At 33.4% G+C, this 15,256-nt stretch overlaps 1 long non-coding RNA gene across 1 annotated transcript in view; it reads right to left on the bottom strand.

Annotated features, from left to right (window-relative positions):
* Window positions 1–15,256, bottom strand: part of LINC01098 (long intergenic non-protein coding RNA 1098) — a 261,994-nt gene that overhangs the window by 22,029 nt on the left and 224,709 nt on the right. Inside the window, 2 exon segments of the long non-coding RNA NR_028342.1 lie at window positions 1,944–2,047; window positions 7,817–7,960. This is a non-coding gene — a long non-coding RNA (long intergenic non-protein coding RNA 1098).

Below are 15,256 nucleotides of genomic sequence, written 5' to 3'. Positions count from 1 at the left end.
AAATCCCAGTTGGAAAGAACTGATAAATTAGAGGAATGTTGAAAATCAAGAGATTTTGTTTCACTGAGACTACCAGGACTCTTAAAAGGCGGAGAAGTCTTTATGGTACTATTAAAATGTGCTGGATATGTTGATTACCTTGATTGCGGTGATGATATGATGGGTGTTTGTGTATGTTCAAACTCATCAAATTGTACATATTGAATATGTGCAGTTCTTTGTATATCAATTATAACCCCATAAAGCTGTTAATTTAACAGCTTTATTAAAAGCGTCATGAAATTTGAAAAACACTGAATTACTTTCATAAATACATATTTCATTGAGTATTTAACACACTAAGAGCAGATAAATGGTGCTAATCCTAGCATAAATTTAGCAGTCAAGCATCTATCACACCCAGATTACTTGAATGTCACTATAAATGACACTAGTCCTTCCTGCCACAATGCACTTTAGCTTCTTTTGATGCAGCCATAACAAAAACAATCTCTTAGGATAATCTGTTTTATTATCACTTTATAAAAATGATTTAGGTTATTAAATATTAATAATCTCAATAATTTTATGAAAAATGGCTTAAATATACTTTGATTCAAATTGAATAAGCATGGTTCTAATTTGCATGACCTTTTAACAATATTCAGATCACGTTTTATACTTTGTGGTATTTTAAACAAACTTAAACTTCTTAACTATAAAAATAACTTAACGTGTAGATTTTTTTAACTCCTAAAATGGAAATGGGAAGTGTCAAATTCTCTCCCAATTAGGCACCTGTTCTTGAGGACATTTTTATTCCTGATATCATAGTTGTGATTACTCTATAAATTAGAATAAAAAAACAGAATAGAAAGGGTACAGATCCAATAGTATATCATTATACCAATCCACTTTTAATTAAGAGAGACAGCCACTATTTTGATAGGTAATTTCTAATAAAAGAAAAATAGCTCAATGTTTAATGAGAAATAATTTTAAGAGATCCTGTTTTACTGAAAAATTATTTTAAACTAGGAAGAAACATTCAATATAATTTTACTTACGTTAAATGCACATTTTCTTTTCCAAACTCGATTTCCTCAAGTGAGATCAAATACATTAAGTCATGTATCAGGTCAGCAAATGGTCAAGGCACAGTTCGTGCATGTACTGTACATTCCTGCATTCTTGATTGCTAATATGAGTGTGAATAAGTTTAAAGTTGTGTGTAATGTGCATATTTTTCTTTGAATAAGAACACAGTGGTACAAACAAAAGGCAGTACAGTCATGTCTCTCCTTGATGGAGATATATTCTGAAAAATTCATTGTTAGGAGAGTTTGTCAATGTGGGAACATCATAGAATGTACTTACTCAAACCTAGATGGTATAGCCTACTACACACCTAGGCTATATGGTATAGCTTATTGCTTCCAGGCTACAAGCCTATACAGCATGAACTCTACTGAATCCTGTAGGCAATTGTAACACAGTGGTAAGTACTTATGTATCTAAACATAGAAAAGGTACAGAAAACATATAGTATTATAATCTTATGGGATCATTGTTGTATAGGTGGGCTCTCATTGACCAAATCATCTAATGAGGCACGTGGTGTATATAAAGTTGTATCTTAACGGTCTTTAAAATTTTGATCTACAGCATCCAAGGAGCAATTAAGTTACTAACAAAAAGCGATCTTATATAAAACTTTATTTTAAATTTAAAAATGCTTAAACTCTCAATATCTGCTTTCATGGGTCAGAAAACTGACCCCTCACTCCCTCATAAAAAAATGAATACTGGCCAGGCGTGGTGGCTCACACCTGTAATCCCAGCACTTTGGGAAGGCAAGGTGGGTGGATTGCTTGAGCTCAGGAGTTCAAGAATGCCGTGGGCAATATGGAAAAACCCTTTCTCTACTAAAAAGACAAAAATTAGCCAGATGTGGTAGCTTATACCTGTAGTCCCAGCTACTTGGGAGGCTGAGGTGGAAGGATGCCTTGAGCCCAGGAGGCAGAGGTTGCAGTGAGCCAGGATTGGGCCACTGCACTCCAGCTTGACCCTGTATTAAAAAAGAAAGAAAGAAAGAAAGAAAATGACGAGAATACTTAACTGAGACCCTTTGAGTTAAACTGACTTTAATAAGGTCCTATTAAATTCAGTTGTAGCCAGGACTAGAAAGAATCCAGAGTCATTTGCCTTATCCAAAGGATTTTCCTATAATCACTATGCTGAATATGATATTTTGAATAGATAGAAAAATGCTCACTTTAATAAAACTTGAAAAACGTGCATTATGATGTGTTTTAAAGTACAGGAGTAAACTGGAGGGGACATCAAACATTCATGGGTTTATTTCTATGAGGTAATGTCTCTTGGCACACTTATTATAGACTTTTTTTGAAACAGCTGATAAATCTTCCAGTTCTTATGAACCTCACCTAAATCTTCTACATTGAAAGCAAATGAATGACCAATGAATATACAGTAATCATATTTTTAGATGCTTTTAGTTTTTTGGTGGCATACACCAATGCACAATGGATTACTGTGTAAATTAATGCAGAAGTCATTTAAAGGTAGAACAGATAATAAAGTGGTAAAGAGTGAAGTAAAAGAGAATATAGGTCTGTATGAAACATTGTCATGGCAATGCAACAAAAGGACAATAGAATAAGCTAAACCCACTTTCACTAAGCTCATACAAAATTTTGTCACCAGACAAAGGCAGTGTTACAGACAAAAATTCAGGCTTAAATTAGACAATCACCATCCACCTCTGTGACAAGGCTTAAAGCTTATTTAATAAATTTGCAATGAAATATTTATAAATGGATACGATTCTAATTAACTGAGAGACATTTTACAAAGGAAAACTAATAACAAGGCTTCTGGACCACACTTTTTCCATTCAACACTAAAATAAAATTATATAGAGCCCATTTTTATTTGGGAGAAAAAATAATAGATGTTCAGCAATACCATAACTGACATAGTCTAATGAGGAAAATGACCCACAACCTTTTTCTTTAATCAAAATAATTGGTATGTTATTTTAGGCTTCCTGGAACCAGACTCAAAAACACTTAACTTCTGTCTTCAAAACACAGTGTGTGAGGAAGAAATGGTTTTAGAGACTAGAAATGGAATTGGAAAAATATGATACAGCTTTTCACCATAATATCACCAGTTAACTATGACCAGATCACACTAAACAAATTTTGCCCCATCTAATTACAGTGCTTGTTAAATAGAAACCAGACTATACAGAAAAAAATTTAAATATAGAAAAAAGTTTTAAATTAGCCAGGCGTGGTGGCAGGCACCTGTAATCCCAGCTACGCGGGAGGCTGAGGTATGAGAATTGCTTGAACCCAGGAGGTGGAGGTTGCAGTGAGCTAAGATTGTGCCATGGGTGAAAGAGCGAGACCCCATCTAAAAAAAAAAAAAAAAAAAAAAAGAAAAAAGAAAAAAGTTTTGTTTGTGTTAGTCCCAGTAAGAAAGAGTTGTTCTCACAGAAGTAAAACTGTGATTGAACATTTTGCAAATAAAATTAGGGAAGAACAAATATTGCAGTCTCCTTACTGAGAAGATTGCATCACTTTTCCTGGTTTGATGTCTTCCACAGGCACTAAGAAATCAGATCCTATTTCTGAGCTTTTGGCTGCTAAGGTCTCAGCACCACTGTGAGTGACCCTATTGGTCAGGATGGAATATAATCACTTGCTATCTCTTCCCCAATGTTTCCTCATCCACCACCAAGAACCATTCATGCATCCCTTGCCCAGAATTCTCTGGCCTCTTCAATTCATGTCGTGTTTTCCTGTCTTGTCAGGGAAATTGACAAAAACAAATTTTTTTTAAAAATTAATAAGTGATTTGCGGTGATGAGTAAGAGTGAATGCAATGTGTGCATACTCTTTTGCCAGGAATACTTCTCAGAGGAGGTGATTTTGATAAGAAATCTGAATAAAGGGAAGAAGAGAGTCATATGAATATCTGCAGGGAAACAGTCTACACAGAAACAATATTAAATCCAAGGACTCTGAGGCCTGAGCATGTCTAGTGTAGCTAAGGAACATTAAGGAGCCCAGCATGGCTGAGTTGAAATAAACAAGTGAAAAGGAAGTAGGAGAAATCAAAGGAATAACAGGAATTGGAAAAGGGAAATTTGTAACAGCAAGTTATACTTTCATATAGGCTATTGTGAAGAATTTGGATTAGATTCTGCATGTCAAAGGAAGTCCCTGGAAGATTTTTAAGGAGAGAAGTGGCATTATATTACTTTTCCATAAAGGAGTCTCTCAGTTCTACACGGAGAAAATATAATAGATGAAGCAAGTGTGAATCAGAGATCAGTCAGGAGGTTGCATTAGGCCAGATGAGAGAGATGATGATGGCTGGGGATACTGATAGAAATGGGAAGACGTGGTAGAAATCCCAACATAGTTTGAAAACAGAGAAAAGATTTATTGCTGGGAGTCAGATATTTGAGAAGTTTGTGGAAAACCATTCTTCTATTAAGTTTCGGAGCTGAAATTAAAGCTGTTTCCCTGACCTGAGGCCTATGATTCAGTGGTTTCCAACCCAGGATGATCATTATCATCACATAGCAATATTTATGAATCATCAATTTCTAAGCTCTGGCTCAGTCCTATAGAATCATAGTATGTGGCAAAGGGGGTTGGGAAACTTTTTTTCCTAATATTCAACCATGTTTGCCACCCACCTCATAAACCATGCATTGATAAGTACGATGAATGTGTGTATAGGTATAGCCTTAGCATTGTAGAAAAATTACTGACTGTGTTTGGGGAGCGTGCAGAAAATTCCTGTGTCAGAAACTGTTTCACAAAAGGAAAATGTAAGCAGGGCTTTGAAGCACAAATTGTAGTTTCTCAGTGAAGAATAGATCTAAAGAAGTATATTTCAGATGGAAATTACAGAAAGAATAACCTTAAACTCTGAATGGGGCCATTTTCTCTTTGAGCCTGGAACGAAGAAGAGAAAAATGAATGTAGGAAAAAAAATACATTTGTTTATAAAGATAGGTATTAAAGCAAGTTTAAATCTGCTGGCCTCAAATCTCTCTGTAAAATAGGATATGAGGTTCTTGACAATGAAGATTATAATGGATATTGGGTAAGATATTTGAACAGAGAAGTTTTTGAGTCATGGCAGAGCAGAAATGAGAAAGTGACCAAAAAAAGAAAGAACCCAGATGAAATTTCTGAGAATACATTGTAGTATAAATATATACGATAAATTAGATATTCATCTAGCCAGCTGTGTGATTTTCTCTGTTGTACTCAGCAGCCTGGCATATGAAGAAGCAGTATTGAGAATTGATCCAAATTTAAGAATTTGTGGGTTTTAGAAGTGAAACATTCTAGGTAAAAACTAATTTAATTCTATGTAAAAACAATTAAATAAATTGCTTAAGCAATTTATTATCTGCACAAATGATCTAAACCTCAATTTATGCCATGAGGATTAAATTAATAAACCAATTGGATTATTGTTGGTAAATGGTAGAAATCTAGAACTGGCAACCATTATTACTACTGTTGACGCTATGAAAGGATGTTAAGTGGAATAAAGATAAATTTTCAGAGTTCAGAAGAAGACCAAAAATTGTGAAGATAGATTTTTGAATGTTTTTATTTAGAATCCTTGATATACCCAAAATAATAGCAGGGAGCGTCATTGGTGAATTTGGAAAATTGACATGAAAAAACGCTAACCTATATTTGTATCTTTCCAACCTATTGGGACCATTTTACATCACGATCCTGCCACCTAAATAATGTGTTTGCTAGAACTCCTGGCTTTGAGTCATTCATAGTTTCCTTTGATTTACATTTTGTATGAGTGCAGTGATCTCATGTAAGACCTTCTCCTTTGGGTTTTAATTCGCAAGGATGAAGGATCAAACAAGGGCGGTTGTTAAAAACATTTTTGTTTGTTTTGTTTGTTCCCACACAGGCTATTTCCCTTCCCCTACCTCCTATTCATTCTCTGGTGCATTTTCAGTAGGTCTCCTATCCCCACACTCCACCGAAACTGCTCTTTACAGAAGTCACTAGTGACTATGTAGCCAAATCCAAATGACCAATTGTAGTTCTCACTTTTTTGACCTTTCAACATTGACCAAGACAACCACTACTTCTTAAGACCCTTATTCTCACTCTCCAGGTTTTCCCCTGCAGCTCAGGCTTCTGTCAATTTCACACATTATAAATTCAGCAAACACTAAATGGTTACCTGGCAAATCCTTTCTATCCTTGGACTCCATAAATAATTATAAGAAACATGATTTATTCCTATGTATATGGCTATTTCTGTCCCTTTCAAGGTAGAGAAAATGTGAGTCTCAGTCTTGCTCCTCTTATGTGACCATTTTTAAGTTTTTCAGAGTATGTGTGGACCTTTCTTTCCATGCACTTTCTCCTTAAGGTGATCATCACCCAGGGATCATTAAGCATCATTTGCGGACTGACCTTCTCTAAATATATGTACCCAGATTGTCTGTTTCAAACTCTAGACTCATCAATCCAAAGGTGACTCACATGTAGGTTAAACCTGTGTTAGAAACAAACAAGCCAAACAAGCAAACAAATGAAACATATTTAAGGTTTTATGTCAAACCCATATTTTCTAACTTGAGTTTATGTTTCCAAGCTTGTTTTTAATCAGTTACACATTATAGATTTATAAAGTATAAATGACGTAATTCCATGAAGCATCTAGAATATAATACCTTTAAAACACAGACATAATCATTTGCTTAAAACCTGTAAATAGCTTCCCATTGCATGTAAGATAAAGTCTAAAGTCTAAACTCCACATGGACCCAGGGATTTCTCCACTACTTCCTTGAATTTTGGTTTGAATAGTTTCCTGTTGTACTCTTTTGAAAGGAGTGATGGCAGGAGATCTTCTATTTTATTTACCATTTTGTGGACATCACTCTCAAACTCTGTATAATATTTGATTACAACAATATTTATACTAAATTTGTTTTATGGATAAAACAAATTTTACAGTAAAATCTCCCACTCAAAGGGGGAAATTATATTAAATATTGTATATTTACAGTTTAAAATTGAACTCATTTTGGAATCTTCAAGCAAAATCACAAAATATTTAGTTTTGATTTGTTGAAACAGTGTAATTATAAAACGTCCAGTGAACATAGCTTTTCTTTCAAAATGGCAAAAAATGCATCCATTTGATTATAATAATCTATCCTGCCATTGGAATTTATTTTTGTAATATAATTTTTCCAATATTTAAAATTTGTTTTGTAATTAATGTAACACTTTTGAAATAGGCAATGATACTTCTCTGAAATGTTTGTATATTATAAACAACCATGAAATAGATCATTTTATTTTTGCTGCAGATTTCTGTTTTTGTAACAGGTAAGGTCTTAATACATTTTTTAAAATTAGTTTATAAAATTGTAAAATAATAGACTCCAAATATACTTTTGTGACCTTCAAAATTATTTTCCAAGGAGACTTTTAAAATCAACTTATTGCAAGTTAACTTTTCTTAAGTAAAAATATTTTTCCCAAAATAACACATTACTCTTGCCACAGTGGGACATTGTTAAGCTGTCAGTCATTGCCCACTGTATAACTAAAATTACATGTGAAAAATATTCATATTGTAATTTCATGTTTTTTTTCTTGAACAAAGAAAATCTGATTGATTGCAATCATTTACACAGCCAGACAAGAAGAATATTTTTAAAAATTCAAATATTTCATTTCAGGCCTCTATCTACAAAGCTTTGAGAACTGAACTAAAATGAGAAATCCCGTACTTTTTCCAGATTGCATAAAGCAGCTGTGAATTCAGATTCAACACTTCATCTTTCATGTTGATGTGGATTCTTTTGATCCCCGGAAAGAAATATATTTATAATTTCCAAAAGAACTGTCTCAGAGGTAAGTGGTATCCAAATGTTCTGCAGAGATAAAAAAAGAAAATACAATGTCAGTGGTATTTGGCTGTAGATTGATGGTGCATTGCACAAGAATATAGAAACATCATTCCTGTAACACTTGTAACATTATGGTTTAGGGACTATTTAACCTTTAACACAAATCATTTTTATTTTCCCACTGGAATTTAAAGCACTTAATTTAGTTATATTGTATTTCTTTTTGTTTCCCCTTTTCCCTATACTATGCCCCTTGAAAATTTTGTCTTTGGCAAACTGTAAAAAAGAAAAGAGTAAGGAACGTGATTGCAAGACAAAACAAACTAGCAAAAGATGAAGAACCAATTTCCTCAGAAGATACATTCTAATGTAAATGAACTTAAGTCCCTATCAAAAAAAGATTTTTAAAATTTAGAAATAAATTGACTTTATGTTTTTTCTGATGAGTTCTGCCAGATAAACTTAGAAATAAATAATAGCAAATAGACAGTACGAAAAATAAACACACTGGCGGCAGTAAGCTTTATTCTGGCATTTTCCCTATTCAATGTTGCAGAATTGTTTTATTAGAATTATTTGAAAGCACATCACTGATAGCATGTAAAAGAAAGCGGAAAACTGTACGTAATTCTGAAAATAAAGGAAAGTCTGGAAGATCATTTTATTTCAGAAATATTCTGTCATCAGTGACAAATTTTGAGTCTTCATGTTCTATATTTGATGGAGATGTGTACCTTCCTAAATATTCTTCAGATGTGTTTGCACATGGATTAGACTTAACATGTCTTTTCTTTCCACCCTGACAAAATAATAATGTAGTTGGTACACAGTGCTGAAGAGAAATGCAAAGAATAAAGTGTTGCGAGTTCTATTGGGACAATAAAAATGATTTGTATTAAAGGTTAAATAGTCCCTGAACTATAATGTTACAAGTTTTATGGGAACAATGTCTCTATATGCTAGTGCAATGCATCATCAGTTCACTTCCAAACACCATGACATTGTACCTTTCTATTTCTGTGGAACAGTACTTGAATAGCATTTGCCTCTAAATAGTTCCTTCTACATATAGGAGCAATGGATATATTATCTAAGAATGAAAGAAGGGATCATGACCCTAAATGGCACCATAGGTCATATACCATAAAGGTTAGTGATGCAGTGGTTATTGAGTGGCTATATTTTCTGTTTCTCCAATTTTTAAAGCAAGATAGTTCTTTCTGCAGATGGTGGGAATAGTTTGATTTAATATAAATTAAGATTTGAAATCATTAACTTTGTCTTTTTATAAAACATCCTTGAGATGTGGGAGTTTTTCAAAGCTTACTAATTAATTGTATTTAGGAGTCAGTTTTATAAAAGGATGTGTAGAATTGTCAATTATCTGTTGAAGTCAGGTTGTAGAGAAAGTCATTCAAGGAAACTCTAAATAAATAGTTTAATTAAACGAATGTTATATTCAAATGTGTTCCATACATTGAGAGAAGTCTAAGTGAATATTAAATCATTTCTACATATGAGAAATATTATAATCTCAGACTCGTTTAAATAATTATAAGAAATAGAACTTCATAACCTTTCTTTCCATGTGGCTGTGTCTTCTTCCAAATAAGTGTACATATCCTGACCTAGTAAATGGCAATTTTAGTGGAAAGTTGGCCCTTGCCTTTTATATACATTTCTCTTAGACTATGGTTTTAGCATAGCGTACAGGATCATATCTATATCATTTCAATGGAGCATAAATGATTAAAGATATAGATGTTCAACAAGCTAAGATATACGATATACATACATATGTACATATTGAAAATGCACATACATAAACACATTTGAAAATCAAAATTAACAAGTTTCTGACAGCACCATTAAAGCCCATTTCTGGGGACTTTAAAATACAGGATAGACATCTTATGTTTAGGATGAGTTAGATTTTCTCCAAATTTTTCTCTTGTCATTAGCCTAAGAGATACTGACTCAGACATCTTTAGAGCTAAAGACAAGTATTGCGTTAATGGATAAAGCATGTAATATAAATGAATGCAATTGATGAGCTGTAAACATTGTCAACTCTCAGAAAGATGTATGAACTGTTAGTACTGAAATATAAGTATATTGCCACAAGAGTAAGTATGTTATTGGAGATATTTAAAAGCTGAAATTGAAAACTCAAAAAATGAAAATAGAAATATCTTCCAACATTGTTAATTTCTTTGATTTGGAAAAATAAACCTGACATGTCCTACACCAAGATGCCAGCTCTTATGCATTGCATTATGGTGTGCTTTCACAGTATACAGAATTCTGTTTTCAATCTCTTAACTAGCAGCATTGCTTACTTTTATTCAGTTTATAACTGGAAAAAAATAGTCACAAAGCTACATTTACATTTAAGTTAAGTAAAAGTTACATTTAATTTTTGGAATTGGACTGTGCCAGCGTAAAGTATCTTCTGATTCTGGCTCTTGACTTACCTAGTCATATTATGTGATTTAACAATGTGAGGTCATTGTCAGAAAGTTTTAATCCTGAGACTTTTCTTAACATTTTATTTCTTAACTCTATGATATTAGACATGCCATTCATGCAATCCTATTAAGCTCCACAGGGTGATTTCTGCCAAGAAGTATTTGCCAGGTTAATCCTTGACCAAGGAGCTTACCAAAGGCATAATTTCATGAGAAATCAGGTAAGCAAGTCATACTTTCCAGTTACTACTTGTAACTGGAAAGTATCCTTTAAGGCATTGAGATGGCATCCTATAAGGCATTTAGATGATGAAAAGACTATCATTGATTCCGTCTTTGCTTGTGAGCTAAGATTAATTTTTTTATCTTAGATGAAATAAACACTACATTTTACATTTCAAAGAATCTGTTCAATATCAAGTGACAAATCATCCTTCTTCCAGAGAGTTCAGAAGATGATCATTGATGCTATGGGAATGTACACAAATGTCTGGCTTAATCATTGACACCAGCATGATTTCCAGCTTAACTTCTTAAGTAAAGTAATTCATGGCGAATGATGAGCTGAATGAGAGTAGCTATTCTGTCATTGCTAAACATTTCCAAATAGGATTTAAGAATCGTATTAAGTCCAAAATTAACTGAACATCTTCAAAACACTGCCTTTAGTCATTAATCTTGACAATTTTATGTTAAACACTCCGGCAATTATACAACACACTCATGTGCACGCACACACAAAATCATTTTATGAATTTGTCTTAGTCATACACCTCATGTTCACAAGTATCTTGAGACATCATAATTCCACTGATGATGTATCATAAATGTGTAAGACATCAGCAGAGAATAAAAACAGTAAAAATCAGTTACTTCTTTTTTTTTAACTTAATATGAACTTGGTGTATTCATCCATGTTTCCAAATTTCTGGGCAACAGTTATTTCAGTTACCCTTGTATTTGCCATGTGTTACTTTTCTATGTGCAATTTTTCTTCATTTAATAAGAACAGCTCTAAAAATTACCATTTAAAAAAGTATTGATGTATGACAATTCATTATTCATTTGTGATATAATTGCTTTTCAGAGCAGCAGTGCTTGTGCTTATTTGCATTTCAAAATAAACCCTCCTGAAATGTCAGCCTTTTCCTTTGAGTTCATTAAGTTTTTCATGATATATCTTTTTGAATGTAGTTCATCTCCGTTACTATGGTTTGTTTGAATTGGGGCTTTAAATTGCAGTCTTTTTACATAGATACACTATGTTTGCATATTAAACAGATAAGAATATTATTAAGTTCTATTAAATAATAGGGTCTTTTAATTTTCCATGAATGCTTATCCTTCTTGGTTTAACTTTTATAAGCTTCCTGTTAGAGACACACAGAAAAATAGTATCTACTTGAAAAAAATTTAAAGCACAATGACAAAAGAAATTGTCTTTTAAAAAAAATGAATAAATGATTTAATAGCCATTCAATTTCTATACATTATGAAAGACTCTTAAAATGCCTACTAAAAGAGTAATTAGCTACCATAGCTGAAATGACTATTTTAATAGATGTCTAGCATATTTTTCCACTTTGAATTTCACTAATTTAACCAATAATGCCTGAAAGAAACCAATATTCCATTTTTAATAGTTTTAATCCAGTTATCTTCATATTTAGAAATTGTAAGAAAAAAATTGCCTTATCCATGCACAGGCATCACCTTGTAATTAAAAAAAATAGGAATTTTTTATGTATAGCAAAGCATTTTTCAGTATTTTGATTTCTAATTGCTTCTACAAATAAACTGTGATAAAATGTGATTTAAAGAAAGGTCATCACCAAAGTTACCTTCAGTTTCTCCTATGTTGTCTTCTAGTTTTGTAGTTTTGCATTTTGCGTATATGTTTGTGATCCATTTTGAGTTGATGTTTGTGAAAGTGTAAGGTCTGTGTTTAGAACCTTTTTATTCTTTGCTTGTGGATGTTCAGTTGCTCCAGCACCATTTGTTGAAAAAATGATCTTTTTTTATTATACTTTAAGTTTTAGGGTACATGTGCACAATGTGCAGGTTTGTTACATATATATACATGTGCCATGTTGGTGTGCTGCACCCATTAACTCGTCATTTAACATTAGGTATATCTCCTAATGCTATCCCTCCTGCCCCCCACCCCACCCCACGACGGACCCCATGTGTGATGTTCCCCTTCCTGTGTCCATGTGATCTCATTGTTCAATTCCCACCTATGAGTGAGAACATGCGGTGTTTGGTTTTTTGTCCTTGTGATAGTTTGCTGAGCATGATGGTTTCCAGCTTCATCCATGTCCCTACAAAGGACATGAACTCATCATTTTTTATGGCTGCATAGTATTCCATGGTGTATATGTGCCACATTTTCTTAATCCAGTCTATCGTTGGACATTTGGGTTGGTTCCAAGTCTTTGCTATTGTGAATAGTGCCTCAATAAACATACGTGTGTGTGTGTCTTTATAGCAGCATGATTTATAATCCTTTGGGTATATACCCAGTAATGGGATGGCTGGGTCAAATGGTGTTTCTAGTTCTACATCCCTGAGGAATCGCCACACTGACTTCCACAATGGTTGAACTAGTTTACAGTCCCACCAACAGTGTAAAAGTGTTCCTATTTCTCCACATCCTCTCCAGCACCTGTTGTTTCCTGACTTTTTAATGATCACCATTCTAACTGGTGTGAGATGGTATCTCATTGTGGTTTTGATTTGCATTTCTCTGATGGCCAGTGATGATGAGCATTTTTTCATGTGTCTGTTGGCTGCATAAATGTCTTCTTTTGAGAAGTGTCTGTTCATATCCTTCACCCACTTGTTGATGGGGTTGGTTTTTTCTTGTAAATTTGTTTGAGTTCATTGTAGATTCTGGATATTAGCTCTTTGTCAGATGAGTAGATTGCAAAAATTTTCTCCCATTCTGTAGGTTGCCTGTTCACTCTGATGGTAGTTTCTTTTGCTGTGCAGAAGCTCTTCAGTTTAATTAGATCCCATTTGTCAACTTTGGCTTTTGTTGTCATTGCTTTTGGTGTTTTAGACATGAAGTCCTTGCCCATGCGTATGTCCTGAATGGTAATGCCTAGGATTTCTTCTAGGGTTTTTATGGTTTTAGGTCTAACATTTAAGTCTTTAATCCATCTTGAATTAATTTTTGTATAAGGTGTAAGGAAGGGATCCAGTGTCAGCTTTCTACATATGGCTAGCCAGTTTTCCCAGCACCATTTATTAAATAGGGAATCATTTCCCCATTTCTTGTTTTAGTCAGGTTTGTCAAAGATCAGATAGTTGTAGATATGTGGCATTATTTCTGAGGGCTCTGTTCTGTTCCATTGGTCTGTATCTCTGTTTTGCTACCAGTACCATTCTGTTTTGGTTACTGTAGCCTTGTAGCATAGTTTGAAGTCAGGTAGCATGATGCCTCCAGCTTTGTTCTTTTGGCTTAGGATTGACTTGGCAATGCAGGCTCTTTTTTGGTTCCATATGAACTTTAAAGTAGCCTTTAGAAATTTTCTTTAGTTTCAGTGTCAGAGAGAAGAGGCAAGAGGAAGTCATAGAAACTGACCAACTAGCAAGCAGCCAGTGATCGGCTCTAGATGATTATTACTGTGTGAGAATGTTGCCTTCTAATCTGTAGCTTTTCCAATTTTCCAGACGAACCTGGGAATTCAGATTTTGAACTAAAATCTCATGATTTTTGAGTGTTGGTTCAAAATTGTTTCAATTTCTGTAAATAAAGATAGGCATAATTAAGCCTATATCTGGTTTATTATTATATCCACAACTTTGACCATTAAGCTTCCCCAACAAACCTCCATCTTTTTCTAAAAGATGGAACCAAGATTCAGAAAATTGAGATTTGCCCAAATGTATAAACCATGATAATGAATATAAAACATAAATTATAATGCTAGGAGAAAATAGTGGGAGTCATTCTATTTAAAATACATCTAAAATTAATAACTTTATTGTGATTGAATTTTGAATCCACCTGCCAGTGAAAATTAAAGCCAAAGAAGTAAACTCTACCAAAATAACACAGATCACCATCTGTCTTAGATTATTTCACATTCAACCTAAATATAGGTTTAGACCAGATGATATCTGGATTTTTTTTTGTTACTTCGTTGTTAGAAATATAAAGGCAGAACTCCCAAAAACATTTTAAACCAAGTGCCTTATAGCAAAGTAAATTTTAAAATGCGCAATTACTCTATGGTTTTACATGGACATTAACAACTAATCTAGGACAAAATTTCTCCCTGACTAAACTCTCCTAACTGGGTCTTTGGACAGAGTCAGACACTATTCAACCTACTGTATAGCTTTACCCTCTGGCACTTTCTGGCGCTTAAACAGCAAGGCCAAAAGAATCTCATTAAAAATGAAATGACTTTGGTAAACGTTCAGTGTAGCCAGTGCCAGTGGGAAATAAATGTCTGTGGATTTTGCCAAACTAATAGAATGATTTGGTGAGCATATGAAAATATTATAAAAGGGTATTTCTTATCTCTCAGAAATATTTTCCCCAAGTGGTGTTACTTCTCTAGGCAAAAGTAAATATAATTATGTTTTAACATCAATATATGTTAAACTACACAAAGACAGAGAAGAAAAACCTATTGGACACCTTTAGGTTAATTAGTTTAAAATCTTTTATGCTAAATACAAATGAAGCTTATAGCACTTCAATATTGCTTCATCCTCAGCATATAATATTAAAACAAACATTCTAAGATTAAGCATTAAGATAATGCTCTTAAATTGCCTTATATCATTAATTGATACTCAATAAATTCATGCTGCTCTATCCTGAAATTGAACATCTTAG

The sequence above is a fragment of the Homo sapiens genome, chromosome 4, assembly GCF_000001405.40.
Source record: "Homo sapiens chromosome 4, GRCh38.p14 Primary Assembly".
NCBI lineage: Eukaryota > Metazoa > Chordata > Mammalia > Primates > Hominidae > Homo > Homo sapiens.
Note: the sequence above shows the minus strand (reverse complement) of the source record. Positions and strands in the feature narration are given on the sequence as shown.